This window comes from Homo sapiens, chromosome 22 (assembly GCF_000001405.40).
Source record: "Homo sapiens chromosome 22, GRCh38.p14 Primary Assembly".
NCBI lineage: Eukaryota > Metazoa > Chordata > Mammalia > Primates > Hominidae > Homo > Homo sapiens.
The window spans coordinates 40,296,592-40,322,628 of NC_000022.11; the positions used below are offsets into that span (position 1 = coordinate 40,296,592).

The following is a 26,037-nucleotide window of genomic DNA, read 5'->3' on the forward strand; positions in this document are numbered from 1 at the left end:
AAAGTGCTGGGATTACAGGCGTGAGCCACCGCGCCCGGCCTTTTTTTTTTTTTCCTTATGGTGTTTCTCTCTGGTGTCCAGGCTGGAGTGCAGTGGCACGATCTTTGCTTGCTGCAACCTCCGCCACCTGGGTTCAAGCGATTCTCGTGCCTCAGCTTCCTGAGTAGCTGGGATTACAGGCGCTTGCCACCATGCCTAGCTAATTTTTGTATTTTTAGTAGAGAGAGGGTTTTGCCATGTTGGCCAAGCTGGTCTCAAACTCCTGGCCTCAAGTGATCTCCGCCCGACTTGGCCTCCCAAAGTGCTTGGGATTACAGGTGTCAGCCACCATGTCCAGCCTGGGGAAATTTTTAAAATGATTTCTGAAAGGAGAAATAAGGAAAAAGTAGCTAGAAGACTAATGAACTTGGTCCCAATTCCAGGAAAGAATCTAGATTATCAAGAAGATTGCTTTTGAGTACGTATGGCAGTAATCAATAATCATAGTTTGCTAACAAGTTTTCATACATTCCCTTCATTGATTGGTAGAAATACTGGCATAGAAGAACAATATAGTTGTTGTACTCTACTTTAACAGGCCGTTTGACAACTTCTCTCTTTTGGATGAGATGGAAATATATTGGCTAAACATTAAAACAGTTGTGTGGATTAGTAACTGACGATTCCTAGGCTGATCGTTTCATATTGAAAGGAAGCTTTAGCGGCATATGACTAGATTATCCTCAGCTCTATCAAGTTCAGCATTCCCATCCGTGACGGGATGGGGGAACACAAACTGGGAATAAGTAGAATAATAGGATCAACAAGAACTTGGTGGGGTGACTGTGAAGTTAAATATGATAGAGGTTCATTCATTTAATAGATATTTATGGAGCATCTTCTATATGCCATGCTCATAAAGATATACGTAAGGTCTTAAGCTCAAATTAAAAAATCAATAAAAATTTAAAGGCCAGGCACGGTGGCTCACGCCTGTAATCCCAATACTTCGGGAGGCCAAGGCGGGTGGATCACGAGGTCAGGAGTTCGAGATCAGCCTGGCCAATATGGTAAAACCCCGTCTCTACTAAAAATACAAAAATTAGCTGGGTGTGGTGGTGCGTGCCTGTAGTCCCAGCTACTCAGGAGGCTGAGGCAGAAGAATTGCTTGAACCCAGGAGGTGGAGCTTGCAGTGAGGCGAGATCACACCACTGCACTCCAGCCTGGGCGACAGAGTGAAACTCTATCTAAAAATAATAATAATAAATAGGCCGGGTGCAGTGGTTCACGCCTGTAATCCCAGCACTTTGGGAGACCGAGGCAGGTGGATCACAAGGTCAGGAGATTGAGACCATCCTGGCTAACATGGTGAAACCCCGTCTCTACTAAAAAAAATACAAAAAATTAGCCGGGCATGGTGGCAGGCACCTGTAGTCCCAGCTATTCGGGAGGCTAAGGCAGGAGAATGGCGTGAACCCAGGAGGTGGAGCTTGCAGTGAGCCGAGATTGCGCCACTGCACTCCAGCCTGAGCAACAGAGCGAGACTCCATCTCAAAAAATAAAAATAAAAATAAAAATAAATTTAAAAAATCATTAAAAAAAACCCAGCTACATGGGTTAAATATTACATGAGGGAACAAAAGCATGTTTTTAAATATTATAGATTTTAACTAACATTAAGCTTAGTGTGTGAATCAGGAGTTACAATCACCAGAGAAATTGACATCTTAGGCATTGTTCATGAAAGCACAGCTTTTAACAGAATGCTTAGGGTCTACTTGGTGTTAGACTACTCTAGAAAATACCTTTCTGTTCTTGGCTCTTCACCAAGAAATGGAAGGAGATACAGGTGAAAGAACTGATCATATTGAGCCTGAAGATGAGATGCAAGGGAACTGTAATCATTGTCTGAAGACATTTGAAGAATCAGCCTGTGGAATAATGTGAACATTTATGGAGGACATCTCTAAGCATTTGACATTGATTAACTCATAAAATCTAATAATGACTGAAGTTAATATTGTTGTCATTCCAGTTGGAGATCAGGAAAGTAAGGGTCAGAAAGGCTAAATGAGTAACTTGCTCTGAGTCAGCTTAGAAATGGCAGAGCTGGGGCCGGGCGCGGTGGCTCACGCCTGTAATCTCAGCACTTTGGGAGGCCGAGGCGGGCGGATCATGAGGTCAGGAGATTGAGACCATCCTGGCTAACACGGTGAAACCCCGTCTCTACTAAAAATACCAAAAATTAGCCGGGCGCAGTGGCGGGCGCCTGTAGTCCCAGCTACTCGGGAGGCTGAGGCAGGAGAATGGCGTGAACCCAGGAGGTGGAGCTTGCAGTGAGCCAAGATAGCGCCACTGCACTCCAGCCTGGGTGAAAGAGCGAGACTCCGTCTCAAAAAAAAAAAAGAAATGGCAGAGCTGGGTTGGGAGCGGTGGCTCATACTTGTAATCACAACACTTTGAGAGGATGGCTTGAGCCCAGGAGTTTGAGACCAGCCGGGAGGTCAAGGCTGCAGTGAGCCATGATCACGCCACTGCATTCCAGCCTGGGTGACAGAGTGAGACCCTGTCTCAAAAAAAAAAAAACAAAAAAAAAAAAAAAACAAAACTGGGGAGGCAGGCAGAGCTGGGATTACAAACCCAGGCAGTCTGCCTCTAGAACTAAAGTCTTTTTTTTTTTTTTTTGAGATGGAATTTCACTCTTGTTGCCCATGCTGGAGTGCAATGGCACCATCTTGGCTCACCACAACCTCCGCCTCCCAGCTTGAGGCAATTCTCCTGCCTCAGCCTCCCTAGTAGCTGGGATTACAGGCATGCGCCATCACACCCAGCTAATTTTGTATTTTTAGTAGAGACGGGGTTTCTGCATGTTGGTCAGGCTGGTCTTGAACTCTTGACCTCAGGTAATCCACCCACCTCAGCCTCCTGAAGTGCTGGGATTACAGGCGTGAGCCACCACACCCAGCTCTAAAGTCTTTTTTTAACCTTTTTATTTTTTTAAAGAGATGATAGCTCGCTATGTTGCCCAGGTGTTCTCAATCTCCTAGGCACAAGCTAGTCCCCCAAACTGCTGGGATTACAGGTGTGAGCCACTGTGCCCAGCCTCTAGGACTAAATTCTTGGCCATTGTGCTACACTACTTGGCACTCACGGACACGTTCTTAAGCTTGTTCTCCATGGCCCCAACTAGTCCAGTGGGTTCAGTAGATGAGGGTGCAGGGAAACTCACTTCTTCTTACTTAAATCATCTTAGAGGAGCAAACCAAAGATAGGAGGGAATCCTCTGTCGCCAGAGCTTCCTGCAGCCTCGCCTAGCTCACTCCTGAGAACAGGGAGAAGGACCCTGCCGGGTCAGTGACCTTCCAGGCTCTTTGATGCTGGCTCTTTTTTTACACTGCCACTCTGTGGGTGTTTGCTATCAGAAGCCATGCATTGAAACTCATGTCTTCTATTTACAAGTTAATATATTTGTCTTACTTGTAGCACAGAAATACTTTCACGTAAGTATTATTTATTAGCTTTATGCAATGTAGCATGTTTTGTTTTATGGCACATTTCCAGTAATAATTTCTTGGTTGGATAAAAGCCATATTGTCATCAATTTTTTTTTCTTGAAGATGTTTTCCTGAATATAAAATTTATACTTTTTATTGTAGAAAATTGGAAAGTCTAAGAAGAAAATTTAAAAACTGTTGTAATCTCACTGCTCCAAGATAATCATTGTTAACCCTTGAGTGTATTTTTCCTGTTATATATTTTTCACAGAAAAGTTTGACAACTCTTGCTTTAGATTCATCAAGATTCTTTTCACAGAAAAACAGTTTTATTTTGATAAATTCTGAAGATTCCTTTTCTTTTCTTTCTTTTTTATTTTTTTGGCTAGGTTTCTGCCTCAATGCTCAAGCAGTTTCCCAACAGTGGCCTGAGTCCAGGTCTTTTCAATGTGGGGCCCCAGTTATCTCCTCAACAAATTGCCATGCTGAGCCAGCTTCCACAAATTCCCCAGTTTCAGTTGGTAAGTAGAAGATTTTCTTCCTGTGGCTAAAAAGGTCATTTGCTTTTTTTTTTTCTTTAGCTTTGATTTGCTTCCCACATCTTTGCCACTTTCTATGTTCAAAGGGTGCTAGTCCACACTTCTTTGCAAACTATGGAGTGTGCTTAAGGGTTGTCAGCTCAACTGGAGGAAAATGTAACCAAGAGACCGGGAATTTGGTGTTACTTCCCTCCTGGATACTTTTGATTGTGTGACCTGTACTTCAGTGCACAGACCCTTTAGGTGTCCTCAGTAAATCAATCTCAGGAAACTTTGGTTTTCTGTCTTTCCCCCTTGTTTTGTAGGCATGTCAGCTTCTCTTGCAGCAGCAGCAACAGCAGCAGTTGTTACAGAACCAGAGAAAGATTTCTCAAGCTGTACGCCAACAGCAAGAGCAGCAGGTACGTGGGTAGGCAGGGTCCCTCCAGTGCTGTGTTGGAGGAGTACATCCCGGCTTAGCCTCTGATGGCAAAGAACCGGGCACAGTCTTTTCCTGGGAAGTTCGGGGCCGTGCTTATCACGTGTCTGTCTCTCTTGGCCCTCAGCTGGCTCGAATGGTGAGTGCACTGCAGCAGCAGCAGCAGCAGCAGCAGAGGCAGCCAGGCATGAAGCACTCGCCCTCTCATCCTGTTGGGCCCAAGCCGCATCTGGACAACATGGTACCCAACGCATTGAATGTGGGGCTCCCAGACCTTCAAACCAAAGGGCCAATACCTGGATATGGTTCTGGTAAGTTGTTGGTAGAGAAAATTACCTTTTTAGAAATCTACCTCTCTAGGCCTGTGGTAGGGGTTGCACCTGCATTACCCTCCTTTTTTATGTCAGCTGTACAAGGTAGGTAAATATTCTTATCCCTGGTTTACAGATGAGACATCTGAGGCTTCTTGAGTTTCAGTGGGTTTCCAGAGCTCACCACATGGTTACTAAATAGCAGAGCCAGGCCTCTAACTTCTCTGGCTCCAAAGCAGTCTTCCTTTTTTTTGTGTGTGTGTGTGTGTCTGGTTTATTTTATTTAACACAGTAAAGGCTCATACATGCTATAGCACATATCAGAATTCATCCCTTTCTAAGGCTGGGTAATACTCCATTGTGCAGATATACCACAGTGTGTTTACCCACTTTTCTGCTGAAATGGATAAACTTGGATTGTTTCCACCTTTTAACTACAAGTTGAGCATCCCCTAATCTAAAAATCCAAAATGCCCCAAAATCTGAAACTTTTTGATCACCAGCATGAAGCCAGCAGTCTTTCAATACGTGTGTATGAATGGCAAACTGCTCTCCTACCGCCGGGAATTTTTAAAACCCTATTTAAATGCTTGTGCATGCTGTGAGTGGTACACATGGCTGAGGTTATGATCTGTTAAAATATGTACTAGTTTGAAATGTTTTAGTGTACTCATATTAATAAAATTGCCTTCTATAGAAAAAATGAACTAAAATTATAGTGCAGATTGATAAAAATTCATTTGATATTAGTATTTCATCTGATTTAAATAGAATTAGAACAAGTAAGGTTATGCCTTTAACATTCTTCAAGAATTTTTTGGCAGGCAAATCATAGCTCTTTCAGAACTGGAAAACATGCTGTAAGCAGAATCTAATTGGTGAGGAAACAGTGATTTCAAAACAAAATTTTAAAATGGAAAAGATACCACACACCATCATAGTTTCATCTCAAACTGACAACATTTAGAATTTATCTTCTAAAGAAGATACTGTTCTACGCACACTCAAAAAACGAGTTGGGCCGCGCGCGGTGACTCACACCTGTAATCCCAGCCCCTTGGGAGGCTGAGGCAGGCAGATCACGAGGTCAGGAGATCGAGACCAGCCTGGCCAATGTAGTGAAACCCTGTCCCTACTAAAAATACAAAAATTAGCCGGACGTTGTGGCATGCGCCTCTAATCCCAGCTACTGGGGAGGCTGAGGCAGGAGAATCACTTGAACCCGGGAGACGGAGGTTGCAGTGAGCTGAGATTGTGCCCCTGCACTCCCACCTGGGTGATAGAGCAAGACCCCATCTCAAAAAAAAAAAAAAAAAAAGAGTTGGGAAGACATGAAATTGCTGGTTCTAGGTGACAGTGTGACCCTGGACAAATGGCAGCGGCTGACTGTGCGCCAACCCCGTGATCCTCCTACTGCACGTGCAGGGGGTGAGCAAAGACTTCAAGGTGTTCTTGATCTTGATCTGGATATTTTAACGGAATTACTTTGTAGATCCTTAGCTTCCACCAACTGTTTTCATTCTTAAAGATGATCTGCCTGATAACTGACTTAAATTCGAAATAACTTTTCTTGCACTTGATATAGAAGAAGGTCAGCTCTGTGCTCATCTGGGCTGCAAAACACCAGGGTACCAAACATGGCGGGGCCTCCCTTGATTACTAACAAAGGTGTCCTTATGCTGTATTTCCTTCTTCTTCTTCTTCTTCTTCTTCTTTTTTTTTTTTTTTTTTTTTGAGGCGGAGTCTCACTCTGTCGCCCAACCTCCACCTCCCACAACCTCCACCTCCCAGGTTCAAGCGATTCTCCTGCCTCAGCCTCCTGAGTAGATGGGATTACAGGCACATGCCACCACTCCCAGCTAATTTTTGTATAGTAGAGATGGGGTTTCACCATGTTGATCAGGCTGGTCTTGAACTCCTGACCTCAGGTGATCTGCCCACCGTGGCCTCCCAAAGTGCTGGGGTTACAGGCGTGAGCCACTGCACCTGGCCGATTCTTTCTTACTTCTAATGGCTAAAGGATCAGAGTTAAGCATACACATATATACGTATTTACTGAAGAAATTTTATTATTTTTGTCATACTCCTGTTTCATAAGTAACTTGTAAATTTAGCTATGCATTATATTATTCCATATTAAAGAGAAATATTGACTTATTAGCTTGTTTCTATATTTGTTAACTTATTAAATAATAGATAAACATTATTAGGTCTCATTTTAATTGTGACCTGACCATTTATAATCTGCCTTATAAGATAGATGTGTTTTGTCATTTATTTCACTTACAATTTTCCTGTCTGGGCACAGTGGCTCACACCTGTAATCCCAGCACTTTGGGAGGCGGAGGAGGGCAGATCACTTGAGGTCAGGAGTTCAAGACCAGCCTCCAACATGGTGAAACCCCGTCTCTACTAAAAATACAAAAAATTAATTGGACGTGGTGGTGTGCACCTGTAATCCCAGTTACTGGAGTGGCTGAAGCAGGAAAATAGCTTGAACCCAGGCGGCAGAGGTTGCAGTGAGCTGAGATCATGCCACTGCACTCCAGCCTGGCGACAGAGCAAGACTCCGTCTCAAAAATAATTTTTTTTCCTTAGTTAGCATTATTATATTTGTTTGAATTGAAGAATACATTTTAGGTCTGAAAGTTAGATTTGGCTGCCTGTTTTGAATAGATTATTTGATGAAAATATATTTAAAGCATATATAGAAATTAAAAAATTTTTTCTAATAAATTAAATGCCGAAGATGTAATGAAATGAACAGTCTTTCAGTTTTCCTGATGCTAAGTATGTTGAACTAAAAAGGATACCTCTAAGTGAAAGAGTAGCAAGAATAATTGAAAGTTTCTTAATATGTCTTGATAAAGCCTCTTTGTTACATTATCTCAAAATTAAGAATTTGAATGACTAATGACTGCTTAACTAATCCTTACTGATTCTTTTGTAAAACAGATGGTTTCTAATTCTGTCCTTTTAGCAAAATTGAAAATATACCTAATTGAGGTTGAGTGCGTGGCTCATGCCTGGTAATCCCAGCACTTTGGGAGGCCAAGGTGAAGAGTGAGAGGGAGAGGGAGACAGAGAGAAAGAATACCTAATTGAATTGTTAGGTGATAATGACCTATCTAAAAATTATATTTTAGTATCTGTGTTACTGGGCTAGGGGAAGGAACATATACTTTAAAAGAAATTCGAGAAGTAAGTTATAACAAGACTCCTTCTGTTCCCATCTACTTATTTATATGAGTCAAATTTCTTAGTGCTTTATGTCAACAAAGAAATTTAAAATAAGATGGTAGCGAAAATTCTCATTATAGTAAGGAGTGTTGGTTACCGTGGATATCTGAACTCATTTAGAAACAAAGTAATTCATCTTCTTAGAAAATGCATTTCTGATAAAATTTCACTTTTTATGTTTAAAATTTATCAAAATTTGTAATATTTATTTGGTATATCCCTGTGAAAAGTAAAGCTGAATAAATATTGGAGATTATAAAAATGACAGAAGAGTAATTGTATCTATGCTGCAATTATGATTGTGTCGATACCAAGTGTACATGTGGACACGGACTTAGAACAGTTGTGTTAGGATGGCCAATTATGGGTGATTTTTTAAAAATAATTATAGAAACTAGTTTGTTTTTTAATGTATAGCAAAAAGAGGAGCAGAAAACAGAACTGTAAACAGAGAGAGTGAAGGCAGGATCAGTGTAAGGACAAGTTAATTTAAGAGCATTTCCTCAAGGATGTAAGAATGGAGCCAAAAGTCGTGAACAGACCATGAATTAGGGTGTGTGGAGAATGAGAGAGAGTAATTCTAGCAAAGACGCATGAGGCAGGCAAAGGGTTGTCCTTGCATGAATGATAAAAGCAGGTGACAGGCAAGGGGCATGTCTTACCTCTACTTGTACCTCAGCTCCTAACACAGGGCCTGGCACAGATTACACTGTCCATAAATATTCATTGAACTGAACTAAATGGCTTAATTTGAGCTAAAGCTCTGTGTTGGTGAGAAATTTCAGGGAAACCACTTGGTGGACTAAGGAAATTTTGTTTTGCTGTAGTGGAAAGTACAATACAGTCAGTATTTTCTTGGGTTTAGAGATACGACAGCTTGTAAATAGCCGAAGGTCACTAGCGAAGCACCATCTCTTCTTTGTTAGTGCACCCACTAGAGCACAGTGTCCCAGAATTCCTTCCATCAAAATGCATCAGACACATTCCATATCCTAGCGTCAGGCTGGTTACTACGTGACATCAAAGAAAATTATGTCCGTCTTCGCCTGATTTTTCCTCTCATACTTTGGGGTTTGTAGATTGAACCTTTCAAGGCAATTTTCTCACCTATTCTTTCTCTTACCCCTTGGATTATTTTTCCTGACCAAACCTTGTGAGGCAGCGCTGGGACTGCCCTACTGTGGTGGCATTTGATCCCCAAGTCTCTAATGAGAAAAGTGCCCGCTTTCTCTAAGGTTCTTGCCTTTCCTTGCTTGCTTACTTTTTCTTTCTCTTTCTCTTTCTTTCTCTCATTCATTTTCTTTCCTTCTTTCCTCTTATGTTTCTCTTTTTTCGCTTTTTTCTTTCTTTGCCCTTTTGCTATAACTTTAATTTTCTGCATTTCATTTGTCACCAAAAAAGCTCTAAGCAGCTGAAATTAAAGAAATTTAATTCACTGGCTGGGCGCGGTGGCTCACACCTGTAATCCCAGCACTTTGAGAGACCGAGGCGGGCGGCTCACAAGGTCAGGAGATTGAGACCATCCTGGCTAACACGATGAAACCCCGTCTCTACTAAAAATACAAAAAAAATCAGCGAGTGTGGTGGCAGGCACCTGTAGTCCCAGCTGCTCGGGAGGCTAAGGCAGGAAAATCGCTTGAACCCAGAGGCGAAGGTTGCAGTGAGCCAAGATTGTGCCGCTGCACTCCAGCCTGGGCGACAGAGCGAGACTCCGTCTCAAAAAAAGAAAAGAAAGAAAAAAAGAAATTTAATTCACTATGGGTTTTATAGAAATTTTAGAGTAACTTCAAAGAAAATTAATGTGTAAGGAATGGTTCCTCCTCTTCTTAGTAATGCTAGTATTCTTTTTAATCTTTGCCAGAATCCTAGGTTATTTCCAAAAACTCTTTCTCAATGATTAGAACTGAGCTTTCAGGTGGCCTGGAATCCAAGCACCTTGGCCTGGTTTTCTCAAAGGCAGAAGTGTAATTTACTCAAGGAGCAACCTGCTTAGGCCATTAAGGCTATGTCAGAGAAAACCTTTGTTCCTTGCAACCTTCCTGCCCTGCAATCTAATTTCATTTCTGCTACCCAGGATGAAAGAAATTTAAAAATGCCTCAAACTCTTCTTTAAAAAAAATAAATAAATAAGGCCAGGCACGGTGGCTCATGCCTGTAATCCCAGCACTTTGGGAGGCAGAGGTGGGCAGATTGCCTGAGCTCAGGAGTTCTAGACCAGCCTTGGCAATAGGGTGAAACCCCGTCTCTACTAAAAATACAAAAAATTAGCTGGGCATGGCTGTGGTGTGCCTGTAGTCCCAGCTACTCAGGAGGCTGAGGCAGGAGAATTGCTTGAACCCAGGAGGCGGAGGTTGCTGTGAGCCAGGATTGTGCCACTGCACTCCAGCCTGGGTGACAGAGACTCCATCTCCAAAATAATAATAATTTCATTTGAAATATTTTCATCTCATTCTAAAGATTTCTGCTCCCCACCCCCACCCTCCACTCTCCAATCATTTTGAACTAGTAAATTCGGTTACAGAGTGTGAAAGAACACTGTTCTTTATATAAATAGCAACATTTTGAACATGGGTCAGGAAGGTGTTAGACTTTTACTTGATTTATTATGTGTTTATCAAACTATCCCAGACAACTAGGATAAGCACAGGGGAGGAAAAACACAACCTGATCCCTTAGTGGGATTTGGAGAGATGAAAATTGAGGACCCTTTATGGGTATAGTGTGCAGTCTGGCCTGGCTGGAGTTGCACATCTTGGGGCAGAGAAGCTTGGCTCTGCCGTGGTGGGAGGCTTGCTCGCCTCCCTGGGATGCCTGCGCTCGTGCTGCCGCTCTGCGCTCCCTGTGGCTCATTCTCATTTTTCTATGGTCATTTATTATTCTCCCCCTCCCCTGTTTCATCATTTTAGTCCTTTATTTTACTTTTTTGAGAGTTTTTATGAACAGGTGTCACACACATTCTGACCCAAATGGATGACGGACCCTGTTAGACTCCGTCATCCAGATTCTGCTGTGTGGCTTCCAGCTCTCCAGCTCTGTGCAGTGGGAACACATTACCCACCAAGACTCTTCCCCTGAAGCTTACCTGGGGCTCTTGGCAAAGTGAGCTCAGAATCTCGAACTACCCACCTACTCAAGCTTTGGTGTCTTCCTCATTGCTTAAAGACTACTTTCAAATTTATCTTTCAGATTCTGCCCTGACCTCCACCCACCCCACACTCAGGCTGCCAATTCTCTTCCTAAAATACATACTAGTTATCCTCTTACATGCTTAAAATGTTCACTATCTTCTTATCCTAGAGAAAAAAAGATCCGAACTCCTTGGCCTAATATATAAAGACCCTACATGACACAACTTCATTTCTCCTCATCCCCCACCACTCTCCGCCTCACTTCATCCCAGAGTTAGCTAACCATTGGAGTCATTTGAATGTCTCACCATTCCCTAAACACACTTGATTATCAAGAGTCAGAGCTCTGTACTTGGTTTGCTTGACTTCCCCAAATACCTCCCTGAGGCCCTAGATCACATCTTCCTTCTGCAAACCCTTTCCTCCCCCAAGATACCCTGACTACAGCTTTGTTGCTGCTGTTGCGCTACATTGGCTGGATGTCGTCTTCTCCATCTCAGTTTGAGAGTGGCTGGCCCCAGCCTCCTGTCTGGCACAAATGTCAGCTAAATGAAAAAGGGCGTGCAGGAATGCACTGAGACAGACCTGATCGATGGCAGTCATACACATCTTCACGCCTTCACAGAGAGACATCACTTATTTAGCGAGCAAGAGCCAAGATCAAAGCTTGGAATCAAAAATACCTGTTTCTGAGTGGAGAAACTCTGTGAATTAGTCTTTGAATGACACTTGAAGGCATTCCTGGACTCTGCTTCAGAACTCTTGATACTGATGCTGGAGACTTATAAAATGTGGTCTTCTCCTTTTTAGGCTTCAGCTCTGGCGGCATGGACTATGGCATGGTTGGTGGGAAGGAGGCTGGAACCGAGTCTCGCTTTAAACAGTGGACCTCCATGATGGAGGGGCTGCCCTCTGTAGCCACACAGGAAGCCAATATGCACAAAAATGGTAAGAGAAGCACTGAAAGCTAGAGCCCCCAACCCACAGCAGGTCTTGATGAAACATCTTATAAGACTATTTTGAAGTACAGAACTTGGTATTCATTTTCCTTGTGAATCCTATGATTGCCTGTGGAGGAAGGTCAGAGTCATGTGTATGTTGAATTACAAGAAATATAAAGTACTAGTTCTAATTAAAGGGAGCAGAATTTTTCAGCCACCATGATTGAGGGTGGTAGCAGTGAACTTGGGCACCCACCAAGGTGAAACCCTAATAAGTTGGCTGAGGGAACAGAGTCAGCTTGTTGAGTTTGTTTTGCGGAGCAAGGGATCATAACAATACCTATCTTGTTGGTTGTTTGAACCATAATAAATTTATCGGCTTTAAAAAATTTTCCTGCCTTTTAATCTCCAAAAGAGGACTAATAGATCATAATACATGAGATTTGAACTTTTCACAAAGCTTTCTTATTCTATGTGAATTAGAGTGTCTGCAAGACAGCATTTAAGGGCATTGCAGGCTTTGGTCGTGATGTTGGTCGGCTTTTCCTCTCAGTTTCTCTCTATAAGGGCTTCTCCATTTCCTGTAAAACAGATAAAAGGTCTCAGAACCTTCCTTCAGCCTTTGTTTCAGTGTTTGTTTCATTTGACAGTAATTCACTTGGACTTAACTGTATCCATGAGAACCAAGTATAAATAGGTGTCCGGCTGTTCCTGCTGCAGCGCCCTGGCAGGCCCCAGCCCCAGCCAGGTCATTCAGTCTGAAGCCTTTCAGGTTTCCTTTATAAACCACTCTTTAATAAGCCCATCCAGGAGGCTGGTGAAATGCCCACGTGGAGCTCTCTGCCTGCCATCCCTAAGCATTATCATTTGGTTTCATGGCATGAAGTCAAAAATGATTTATTGAAATTGTAAAATCTGTTTGTGGACTGAATAATCTAAGCCCACTGATATCTACAGCTTTGGGCACTTTCAATGCTTCCTTAGGCTGATGATTCACCAGGTCCCCTTGTCCCCAAAGACATGATAGGTGCATGATAATAAATCTGAAATGGCATGTGAGAGGATATCTCAAAGGCAAAATCTCTACTTGCCTTTTTAGAGCTTATAGATCATGTTTTCCCATTTCCTTAGCAATCCCCAAAGTAATTGAGCTTGTCATTTTCCACTGCTTCACCATAATGTGCCTCTGAGCCAGATTTGTCAGTGGCTCCAGAAAAGTAAATGCCCTCTTAGCCTGAGTATGGAGGTAGTTTTGATAATATTCCCATTAGGCTGCATCACCCTGGAAATAATTTTATCCCTTCACAAGCAGCATCCTAAGAATAGATCAAGTGACCCAATATAGTATGTAAAATTCATTTGAGAAATAAGTAGACTGGTATCTCACTGATACCTAAAATTTTATTCAAAGTGCATGTTCTGTTAGTTCAAGGTAATTTTAAGCTTTTAATTATTTTCCTGCCCCATAGCATATAAAATGCATGATGGGGGCAGCGACAAAACCACTGAAGTGCTCTCAGGAAACCAGTTACAAAGGATTTGCTGTTCTTCATGTGTGAGGCCACGGATCCCAGAGCTGCAGAGTTCATTGCTGGTCTTGTGCTGGCAAAGACCCTAGGCGGGAATTCCATCTCATTGCGTTGGAATTTAAAGCAATTGCAGATGCTTTTCCCTCCAATGGACTCTCTGTTTACACTGCTGCTTCCAGCTAATCTAAGCCTGATCAGCCAGCCCTTAAGAACCTGGGTGGATAGCATCAGTAGAAATTTAGTTAAAACCTTCTTATGTGCTACAAATGGTTAGAATTTTCCCCATTTCTCACTCTTGAGTCGTTAGCATAGAAACTAGGGATAATGGTCAGATTCCTAGTATGTGAACGTTTCATTAATTTCATAAGACCATGGAATTTTAAAACTGAAAGGAACATTCAAGCATGAGAACAATCCTGTGTGCCTAAGTGAGGAACTGAGAGGCTCAGAGAGGCGAAATGACTTGTTGTTGGTCATGCTGCTTAGTAATTCTGTGCTGAGTCTCGAATGCAACCTCTTATTCCAGTGCTGTTTGTATATACTCCATCAGCTTCAGAAGACTGTTTGCATTCCAGCGAATAAAAAATAGACAAGTTCTATTCATAGGAGTTATTCTGGATGATTTAATTTCCTCTCTTTTCTCAGGCGCTATAGTGGCCCCTGGTAAAACCCGGGGAGGGTCACCGTACAACCAGTTTGATATCATCCCTGGTGACACACTGGGTGGCCATACGGGTCCTGCTGGTGATAGCTGGTTACCTGCCAAATCTCCACCAACAAATAAAATCGGAAGTAAATCCAGCAATGCCAGTTGGCCTCCAGGTATTGTCTAGGAAATGCTTTTCCCAGGATAGCATTTGTTTTGTAATTGTCAGTTTCAGGTTCAGAATACATTGCTTTTGTGATTCATGTTACTAAGGTACTTGCTTTTATTTTTTTCATTCAATAATTGTCTGTTAGAAGCAAGGCATGTGCTGTGGGAAGATAGAAAATTTTCATTAGATGGGGAATCTGGGGATAAGTGACATTGTAGGTGGGACTTTGCATTCGTCCCATGCATAGGATGCCTTGTAACATGGGTTCTTTTGAAGTGTCTGTTGAATTGATTTGTTAGTTCTTAGGCAAGTGTGTATTACCAGTTAGCTTCTAGGTATGCAGTAGCGATTGCAATGAGATTATTTGTTAATTCTTTTCTTTCTGTCCCTCCCTTTTGTTGGATATAGTAATCTATTCTCATGATAGAAAAATGAGAACATTTAATAAAGCAAAAATTAAAATCAGTAATTCCATAAATATATATCCTCCTAGACCTCTTTCTGTGCATGCGTATTTGTGACATGAATATGTATAGTTTCGTTTTATTAAGGTAGAATTTTTTTTTTTTTTTGAAAGGGAGTTTTGCTCTTATTACCCAGGCTGGAGTGCAGTGGTGCGATCTTGGTTCACTGCAAGCTCTGCCTCCCAGGTTCAAGCGATTCTCCTGCCTCAGCCTCCCAAGTACCTGGGATTACAGGCGCCTGCTACCACGCCTGGCTAATTTTTTGTATGTTTAGTAGAGACAGGGTTTCGCCATGTTGGACAGGCTGTTCTCAAACTCCTGACCTCAGGTGATCTGCCCGCCTCGGCCTCCCAAAGTGCCGGGATTACAGGCGTGAGCCACCACGCCCGGCCAAAGTAGAACTGTATAATGCAGATCGTTCATATATAATACACATTGCTCTTTCTCATCACGATTTGGAAAATAAAAGTTTATTGTGTCACATAGCCTTAAAATTTTAAAATGATTTAAATTGACCAATAAAAAAATTCCGAGCCCTTATGTATATTCTAGGCTTTCTTTTGCTAAGCTAAATTATCCCTGCTGGTTATCCCTGGACATTCTGTGTAGCAGTATCATTTGTATTACATTTTTTGCATTTTGGCCAACATCTCGTAAGGAAAATGAGAAAGAGCACTGATCTCTAGCCCATATTTTCACCGGTTCTTGGCCTAGATGCTGGGATGATTCTTGTGAACACCAGAGTCCTTACTCCTGCTTTCCCTGCCTTCAGCCCTGAAGTCTCCTGGGAGCAGGAGGATCAGGTTACTGGGGACAGGCTCTGATGAGCTGTGGCTTCCAGTTGACTGCCACAGACAGTGTGATAAAACAAAGGTGCTGTTGGCAAGAGTATGTTCATGGTGATTTTTTTTTCCTTAATTTTGTGATGAAAATCTAAGAGACAATAAATTCAGTATTTATACTTTTCACAGACCCATTTCTTATGTCAAAAAAAGTACTATATCATTTTTTTTTAACGACCTTCCTTCTCTAATATTTGTTTTCCTTGTCTCAGAATTCCAACCAGGAGTGCCATGGAAAGGTATCCAAAACATTGACCCTGAATCTGACCCCTATGTCACCCCAGGAAGTGTGCTGGGGGGTACAGCCACATCTCCCATTGTAGATACTGACCACCAACTGCTGCGGGATAACACCACAGGTACTTGAGCAAAGCATCTCTTATATGTTCAACACCCAGCATTTTCATAGTTGTCAGTTTGTGACTTCATTTGTACTTGCTGGTACCTAAAAGTTTAACCAAAAAATGTAAAAAGATTGCTTTTCACTTTTATTTGTTAGACATATTTTGTCCTCCATTCTATTGAAGTTTAAACAAAATACTCTCAAGGTTTCACTGGTTATACTGACATTTATCTTCAGTATTTTCTTCTTGTTCTTTGTTACCCAAGGGTCTAATTCTTCCCTCAACACCTCGCTGCCTTCACCTGGTGCCTGGCCCTACAGTGCCTCTGACAACTCCTTTACCAACGTTCATAGCACTTCAGGTATGAGTGTGAATTTTTTGTTTCCCTTTGGTTAGCACTTTTTCATCAGGTTCCCTTTTATAAAGGAAACTGGCATGTATTTCATAAGATATACTCTTACAGAAGTTCAGTAGCATAGGTCAGTATAGATGGAAGCACATCTTTTCTGTTTGCTATGTCTTTGAGGAACTTCTAGTCTCAGGAAGGATGAGCCAGATACAGCTTTGGGATGAGGCCGGTAGTGACATAACTGCAGGGAGCTGGCATATCCAGAGGGCTGGAGTCACGTCCTAATGACACACATGCTTCTCTTTTAACAAGGCTGCCAAGAAGTCAAGGGTCATGAGAAGAACCAGTGAAGGCCAGGTTATTATTCCTAAGATAGCCAATAATAGCTAGCTTTTCTCTAAAAATCCTCCCACTTATAGACAAAGGCTAAGGGCAGATGGCCAAAGGAAAAAAAAAAAAGGACCTTGATTCATTTTACCATCATTTGGTAAGTTCCTCATGGTTTTTTAAAAGATATTAGGAAATGGAAAAGTTGGTGGATATAATAAAGGCTTTGAAGTCACTCACTGAGCATAGTGCCTTACTGATTGGTAGACATATTAGTAATTGGCACCTTTAGTTTGCACAAGTCGGACCTTAAGCTGTTAAAGTCATTATGACTTACGTGCTTTGCCCAGGCAAAAGCAAATAAAGTAGACCTTTGTCCAACTACGAAGACGCTGCAGGTTAGTGGGCTAAACATTGTCTTGTTCTCCTTCCCACCTCTCTGTCATATCAGCAGTGCAACAATAACCTACCACTCACTGAATGATCCCACAGGCCAGGCATCATGCTAAACCTTCCACGTTAATTTTTATTTTACCTTCACCAAAGGCTATGAGTAAGTCCTGTTGTTACCCCTATTTTGTGGATAAAGAAACTAAGTGAGGTTCTGAGAGCAGATATAACTTGCCTCAGTTCTGAGCAAGTATGTAAAGGAGACATCTCAATATTCCGGGTTTTGAACCACCACCCTACATTACACTTTTGTAGGATTTCTTTTACATGTAAAAACTTAACTCTGGTTACCCAACTCTTTTACACCTATAAATGCCCATATCTCAGATTGAACTATGTGTCTTTTTCCAACAGTTGAAAATTCATCTGAGAGATGGCCCAAGAATCACCTCAGACTTGTCTAAAACTGAACCTATACTTCCCCACCCCCAAAAGTGTCTTTCCTTCTCAACTCAGTTATGTTTCTTAATAATGATCTCATGCATCATTTAGTTACAAAACCTCAGTATTTTCTTCCTCTTTCCTCTCTCTCTCAATCCCTGGATCCAGGCAGTTATGATTTCTCTTTAGTGATTTATTCTGCAATCATATTTCAAATATCCATTCCTTCTGTTCCATTCTATTTACTATCACAGTAGTTTAAACACTCCATGCTGAATCAGTTGCAAAAACTCCTGATATGTAACCTCCTTTACCTCTCTGCCCCTGTGAACTGTTCAACCAAAATTGGGGGGGAACATATTCCATACACAGAGAGTTTATGTTGAACCTTGGTTTACACATTCCTGTTTCTTTGTGCCCATCCATTTATGTAAATCCTTCAAGAGCTGTCTTTATAAAGCCTTTGCTGCAAGCCCAGCGTTCTTGATCCCCTCTGCATATTGAGCTTACGTGATGATGTTGGGGTCACCACTTCTGTTGCTCATCTGTTCTGTGTTCCCATCTGAGCTTGAGGTTCTCAGGGATAATTGTTTCTATTCCTCACAGCACTGATTTCGTGCCGTATGCATAGTAAGCCCTTAGTGAATATTTCTTGATTGTTTTTAAAGAATCTATGTGAACATCAATATCTAATAGACTGGATCAAGGCACAAGAAAAGTGTAATTTACTAATTACTTTCTATTCAGTCAATGATTATTTATAGAATACTTTATTCTGCTAATGTTCACATTCTCACTGTTACCCAGAAGCTGGTATCTTTAGGAAGACTTTCTCCTTGAATGTGTCCTCCTTTTCAAGTCATTTTTAGCTAAGAAAGCAGTAGAGAATTGGTTATCTTATTAAATCTTTAATTCATATGATAATTCTATCAATTCAGAGTAGTAGTCACTGAAAATTTTATGTTCGTTATGCTCTAAGAACAGTGTTATTTTGTATTGCTGTGCTTAAAATGTGTACTATTACTTTTTAGAATATAAATGTGCATGTATTTATGTGTATGTAGATAAAACTCATGTGTATTTGTCAACAAAAGTGAACCGTCTAACCTTATTCCTTCCTTAATTTTCTCTTCTTACAGCAAAGTTCCCTGATTACAAATCAACATGGTCCCCAGATCCCATAGGACACAACCCCACTCATCTCTCCAACAAGATGTGGAAAAACCATATTTCCTCCAGGAACACTACACCGCTGCCCCGCCCACCTCCTGGTCTGACCAACCCCAAACCATCATCTCCCTGGAGCAGCACAGCACCCCGATCAGTCAGGGGGTGGGGGACACAGGACTCACGGCTCGCCTCGGGTGAGGAGGATCTGCCTAAAGGAACACCATTGTTCATCCACAAGGGGCTTATGTTAACACAGATGGTGAAGACACAAAGAGGTCTTCCCAAGAGAGGAAGTCATGGTTGTCTGCTTTTTCTTCTGGTAGAGGAAAAGGTACCTCTTGAGTGAGTGAAAGTCGCAGTCAGTATAAGGCAAAGGGACAGATGGAGTAAAATGAGTAAAAATGGCAGAGTGAGAACACTGGGAGGAAAATACTGTCTTGCAAATCAGGCATAAAAGTGCATAGGAGTCAGGGACCAGTAGAAGAGAAAAAGAAGGTCAGAGTCCAGTGGAAAAGAGAATTTATAAAAGCAGAGAAGAAATGTGAGCTACATGAAAATCTTTCTCCCTCATGGCTTTTCTTGTTTTTGTTTTATTTCTCTTCCTAACCATTTTTCTGGTTGCTCATAGCCTCTACCTGGAGTGATGGTGGCTCAGTTCGTCCTAGTTACTGGCTGGTTCTTCACAATCTCACCCCACAGGTAATTATGCTTTCTCGCAGTTTTCTAGATAGGACTTGATTGTATTAAGAGAGAGGGAAAGGTTGGGCATGGTGGCTCATGCCTGTAATCCAAGCACTTTGGGAGGCCGAGGCGGGTGCATCACGAGGTCAGGAGATCAAGACCATCCTGGCTAACATGGTGAAACCCCGTCTCTACTAAAAATACAAAAAATTAGCTGAGCATGGTGGCGGGCGCCTGTAGTCCCAGCTACTCGGGAGGCTGAGGCAGGATAACGGCGTGAACCCGGGAGGCGGAGCTTGCAGTGAGCCAAGATTGCGCTAGTGCACTCCAGCCTGGGCGACAGAGTGAGACTCCATCTCAAAAAAAAAAACAAAAAAAAAAGAGGTAAAGATGGGGGTTGGTTTCTCACACCTGTAATCCCAGCACCTTGGGAGGCCAAGGCGAGAGGATTGCTTGAAGCCAGGAGTCTGAAATCAGTCCAAGCAATATGAGACCCTGTTTCTACAAAAAATTAAAAATTAGCCAGGCATGGTGGCACACAGCTGCTCAGGAGGCTGAGGTGGGAGGATCACTTGAGCCCAGAATTGCATTGCATTGCACTCCAGGTTGGGCAATAGTGCAAGACCCTTTCTCAAAAAGGAGAGAGAGGGAAATAGATGTGGGAGGCTGGCAGATATGAAAGTTCATCTCCTGATCACTGCAAAGAGGTCTTGACTACAGGAGTGGGTGTCCCCTCCCCACCCAAGGTTCACAGTCTACTTCTGGAGAAGGGTTGATGCTGGCCACTAGGCTTCATGCCTGCCTTCAAGATGATGATAACACATACAGTTTACAAAAGTGAAAGTTAGTTTTATAAGCTAGTTCATAAAACTAGGTAAAACCCACTAGAGAGTGGGTTTCTGCAGATCTTACGGGGCAGAGAAAGAGAAAAAAACAAACAGAGTAGGGTGGTATTTTCTGGTGATTTCTGTGTAGTAGACACGATTTGCTATACAAATGTGCATGTTAGTATCTGGAACCTAGTGGAAAAGGGAGTATTTTAAGGACACCCAAAAGCTACCTGTTTCTGTGTTAATCCTCCAAGAAGACCTGAACCTATACTTCCTATCCCTGAAAGTGTCTTCCCTTCTCAACTAAGTTCTTTGTTTCTTAATATGGATCTCATGCATCATTTAGTTACAAAACCTCAGTATTTTCTCCCTCTTAAAACATATTAACCATTTTTGTGCTCTGTAAATAATTAACCATCCATCTCTCCAGTGGAAGAGATCATTTGACTTCATAGTTTATAAATGCTACATGGGGCCAGTCGCAGTGGCTCACGCCTGTAATCCCAGCACTTTGGGAGGCCAAGGTGGATGGATCACGAGGTCAAGAGGTCGAGACCATCCTGGCCAACATGGTGAAACCCCGTCTTTACTGAAAATACACAAATTAGCTGGGCGTAGTGGCACACGCCTGTAGTCCCAGCTACTCGGGAGGCTGAGGCAGGAGAATCACTTGAACCTAGGAGGCAGAGGTTGCAGTGAGCTGAGATTGCACCACTGCACTCCAGCCTGGCGACAGAGCGAGACTCCATCTGAAAAAATAAAAAAAAGCTACATGGGTGTGTTTAACTCTCCGTCTATTATCCTCTTCACGTGTAGATGGCATTACTATAATTTGCTCTCATCAGACCATATCCGCTAGGTGGTTTTCTATTGGAGGAGCTTCATTTGCACCAAGCCACTCTGCCTTTCACCTTGGTTGCTAGATAACTGAGGTATTTGCAGAAGCATTATGTTGAGCACCTGAACGAGGTTAAATGGGCTCATCAAAACTGAGTCCATCACAACCTTTACAACACCTTGTTAAAAGGAGTCTGTTATGCCTCCTGTTTTTGACATACAAAATGCATTCTCTGGCATTTAATTCATATATGGATTCATGCACACTTTATTAAGCCAACATTTTCCAGAGTGTTGTCATGAGATATGATTAGGTCTCTGGCCTAATATGTTTGACATGTATACTTGGTTAAACAAAACTAAGCAGATTTTTTCACTTTGAGACTTCTTAGGCCTTTTAATACGCTAACACATATTATGATTCTCTGTGGGGAAATACATCTCCTAAATACATTTGCCCATTTGTAGGGAGTAAATCACAGGACTCGTATTTCAAGATGCACATTGAGGTAAACAATTTCCTAAATACAGTTAACATGAGGGAGAGTGTGGGTCAGCTCTTAATCTCTGTATCTAATCAACTCAGCTCAAAGTTCCAAGTTACGGCCGGGCACGGTGGCTCACACCTGTAATCCCAGCACTTTGGGAGGCCGAGGCGGGCAGATCACAAGGTCAGGCAATCGAGACCATCCTGGCTAACATGGTGAAACCCCATCTTTACTAAAAATACAAAAAATTAGCCGGGTGTGGTGGTGAGCACCTGTAGTCCCAGCTACTTGGGAGGCTGTGGCGGGAGAATGGCATGAATCTGGGAGGCGGAGCTTGGAGTGAGCCGAGATTGCGCCACTGCACTCCAGCCTGGGAGACAGAGCGAGACTTCATCTCAGAGAAAAAAAAATTTTTTTTTTAAGTTCCAAGTTATTTCTTTAGCAAATAGTTGACTGAAATATGAAGAATCTTGTATGACCATCCTCAAAACTATGTATACCTCCTATTTTCTAAGAGTTGTCACACAATGTGATTATGTTATGATGAGATTGAGAGAAGCAGTAAGAGATGCACTGTTTTGAAAGAAGCCTGGGCAGGCCAATCGGCTGTTCACTTGTTCTATCTTATGAAAAATGCTGGCCAGATGTGGTGGCTCATGCCTGTAATCCCAACACTTTTGGGAGGCTGAGGCAGGTGGATCACCTGAGGTCAGGAGTTCCAGACCAGCCTGGCCAACATGGCGAAACCCCATCTCTACTAAAAAGACAAAAATTAGCCGGGTATGGTGGTGGGTGTCTGTAGTCCCACCTCAGTCGGGAAGCTGAGGCAGGAGAATCGCTTGAACCCGGGGGTGAAGGCTGCAGTGAGCTGAGATCGCACCACTGCACTCCAGCCTGGGTAACAGAGCGAGACGCTGTTTCAAAGAAAAAAATGTTAATTATACACATACATCCATATAAAATGAATATGGGGGTGGCCGTGTTTGGGTTAGAACTAATTTTAAAATGAAAGCTTCCTAAAAGCAGACTAATCTCTATCATAGCTTAAAAGGTTATAAGAGCAAGTCACCTGCTCTCCAGCCTGGGTGACAGAAGAGTGAGACCCCCCCCATCTCTGAATTTAAAAAAAAAAAAGCAAATCTTGATACAATTGTCACCCCCTTACCCATGATTTCTTACCCTTGGTCAAACCATAGTCAAAAAATATTAAGATGTTTTTAGAGAAAGACCACATTCACATAACTTACAGTATGTTGTTATAACTTTTCTTTTCTTTTTTTTTTTTTTTTTTTGAGACAGAGTCTTGTTCTGTCGCTCAGACTGGAGTGTGCAGTGGCGCGATCTCCGCTCACTGCAAGCTCCGCCTCCCGGGTTAATGCGGTTCTCATGTCTCAGCCTCCAAGTAGCTGGGACTACAGGCGCCAGCCACAATGCCTGGCTAATTTTTTTGTGTTTTTAGTAGAGATGGGTTTCACCATGTTAGCCAGGATGGTCTTGATCTCCTGACCTCGTGATCTGCCCACCTCAGTCTTCCAAAGTGCTGGGATTACAGGCGTGAGCCACCGCACCTGGCAACTTTTCTATTTTAGTCTCTTACTGTGCCTAATTTGTAAATTAAACTTTGTCTTAGGTATGTATGTATAGGAAAAACATAGTATACTTAGAGTTCGGTACTATTGGTGGTTTCAGGCCTCCACTGGGGGGCCTTGGAAGGTGTTCCCCTCAGATAAAAGGGGACTACTTTATCTGGATAATGTTTCTTTCATCACCTAAAATTTATCTAGAGAGCATCTATCCTAAAAAGTCTGTTGTGGCATATGCTGACATGCTTGTGTAATCTATTGTTACTTATAAAACAATGCTAAGAGCATTTCTGTGATCATTTTCTGCAAAGAACTACAGAGAAACTGCCTGTTTTCATCCTGCAGGGTGTCTACCACTGCCACCAGTAGTACAGCTTTTTAATCTATTCAATAGTAATCTGTTTATCTTCCAAAGAAATGAACTGAAATGGTGGACTGATCTTAAATACCTATTTAAGATCTTGATGGGACAGGCGCGGTGGCTCATGCCTGTAATCCCAGCACTTTGGGAGGCTGAGGCGAGTGGATCACAAGGTCAGGAGATCAAGACCATCCTGGCCAACATGGTGAAACCCTGTCTCTATTAAAAATACAAAAATTAGCCGGGAGTTGTGGTGTGCGCCTGTAATTCCACCTACTCAGGATGCTGAGGCAGGAGAATCGCTTGAACCTGGGAGGTGGAGGTTGCAGTGAGTCGAGATTGTGCCACTGCACTCCAGCCTGGGCAACAGAGCAAGGCTCTGTCTCAAAACTAAATAAGTAAAAAGATCTTGATGCAAAATAAGTTAATCAGAGTGAATAAGTTTGTTCATCCAACTCATAGGTTAGGAAAATTGTCCCTAATCGCTGAAGATCTTAAGTGGTGAAAGTCTAACTGGGGTGAGGGGTACAGCCTTTGGTCAAAATGCCTGATGTCAGCACAGGACATAGAGAAGTAGGCAGAAATAGTCTCACCTTGAGATGGGCAAAGTAGGGGTAAGACAGTGTTAGAATAGGCTATGAACCAGGTCAGCCATCAGCATTTTAAATAATCAGATGTTTAGTAGTGCTTTTCTTGTCTGTGTCTTTCTCTTTACAGAGGAATACATGAGCAGTGATGCTAAGAATGTTAACTTACATTCTTACATGGATACCATCTCATTTTTGTCCTTTTTTGACTCTACAAGTTAACACTCCCACCTGTTTATCTCTTAAAACAGACCATAGGCTGAATCATATGCTTTTGTTTTGAGCTGCATTTATGGAAACTATTTGCAAAATGGGCACACTAGGTCTCAGCCAGTGCTTTGAATATCTTAAAATGTACCTTTTCCACCCCACCTCCAGTCTTTATCTCATGAATGTCATTACTCCTTAGATTGATGGGTCAACCTTGAGAACGATCTGCATGCAGCATGGCCCACTGCTGACATTCCATCTGAATCTAACCCAGGGCACTGCCCTGATCCGATACAGCACCAAACAGGAGGCGGCCAAGGCCCAAACTGCACTGCACATGTGAGTATTCGGTCCTACACCCACGTAGACAAACATGCATGAAGATGCACCCGTGAGTATTCTGGCAGCTGCTGAATTAAAGATGCACCAGAACATATACGAAGAATGGCACCGTCACACGTGCATCTGCAAGTCTCGAGTGTGGAGAGTGTGGAGGTGCCGGGTCTTTTCCACCAAAGCTTGGATTGTCCTGTATATATCAGAGGCCAGTCGTCAGAATTCCAAACGTAAATAATTTGTGAAGTAGTGAGTAAATTCTAAGTAACATAAAGCTAGGGCCGGGCACAGTGGCCCATGCCTGTAATCCCAGCACTTTGGGAGGCCAAGGCGGGCAGATCACAAGGTCAGGAGATGGAGACCATCTTGGCCAACATGGTAAAACCCTGTCTCTACTAAAACACAAAAAATCAGCCAGGCGTGGGGGCGCATGCCTGTAGTCCCAGCTACTGGGAAGGTTGAGGCAGGGGAATCGCTTGAACCTGGGAAGCAGAGGTTGCAGTGAGCTGAGATCATGCCACTGCCCTCCAGCCTGGTGACAGAGCAAGATTCCATCTCAAAAAAGAAAAAAAACACACAGCTAATAGAATTGCCATTGTTTTTCATAATAGAATCTAGCTGCTTACTCCAGCCTCTTTGCAGATGATGAAATATTGTGGTCTTGGGGGGTAGCAGGGTCTTTGCTTAAATTAGGTGGCGCTAGATCAGACTTTGCCCATCCCCTTCCCTGCCACTGTCAAACTGGTGGACGGAGAAGACCTGACTGCCCTTGGCTGCAGATGCCATGACAGAAAGCCAGACACACTGCAAGCCAGGGATGAGGGGGCTCAGGCAGCGAGGAGCCCCTGAGAAAGAGCAGCACTTCCGGGGACTGAAGCCAGGTTGCTTCGATGCTTTGGGTATGGTCTCTTGCCTCATAACTCACATGGGGAAAGAAAGAGACCATATTTTTCTTTCCTTTTTATCTAAGGCTTTATTTATTTTGTTTTAGAGCAGTTTTAGGATCACAGCCAAATCGAGAGGAAGATACAAAGATTTCTGTCATATCTCCTGCTGCCACACATGAATAGCCTCCACTATTATCAACATCCTCCACCAGAGTGGTGCATTTGTCAAGATTGCTGAACCCCTCCTTATCACCAAAAGTCTGTAGTTTACATTAGAGTTCACTCGGCCTTGTACAGTATATGGTTTTGGACAAATGTATAATGACGGGTATCTACCATTACAGTATCAGAGTCCTCTGCCAGTTCAGTCATCCCTCTTAGCCCCCCACAGACACACACGTTTTTCTTGATAGCTAAGTTGTCTAGAATATATAAATTCCATACACCAAGAAATATCAGAATATAGTATTCTCTAGTAGTCCTTGGTTATCCTGAGTTTTGGTGATGCCTTGTTG

General features: G+C 42.6%; 1 protein-coding gene across 3 annotated transcripts in view; it reads left to right on the forward strand.

The window, feature by feature from the left end:
* Nucleotides 1-26,037, forward strand: part of TNRC6B (trinucleotide repeat containing adaptor 6B) — a 290,975-nt gene that overhangs the window by 251,758 nt on the left and 13,180 nt on the right. For all 3 annotated transcript variants that reach the window (NM_001024843.2, NM_001162501.2, NM_015088.3), the window contains 10 exons: nt 3,864-3,995; nt 4,319-4,414; nt 4,559-4,742; nt 11,921-12,058; nt 14,226-14,402; nt 15,914-16,060; nt 16,311-16,406; nt 18,692-18,916; nt 19,351-19,421; nt 24,499-24,638. In NM_001024843.2, coding sequence (NP_001020014.1) covers nt 3,864-3,995; nt 4,319-4,414; nt 4,559-4,742; nt 11,921-12,058; nt 14,226-14,402; nt 15,914-16,060; nt 16,311-16,406; nt 18,692-18,916; nt 19,351-19,421; nt 24,499-24,638 — 1,406 coding nt within the window. The remainder of the gene's footprint in view (nt 1-3,863; nt 3,996-4,318; nt 4,415-4,558; nt 4,743-11,920; nt 12,059-14,225; nt 14,403-15,913; nt 16,061-16,310; nt 16,407-18,691; nt 18,917-19,350; nt 19,422-24,498; nt 24,639-26,037) is intronic.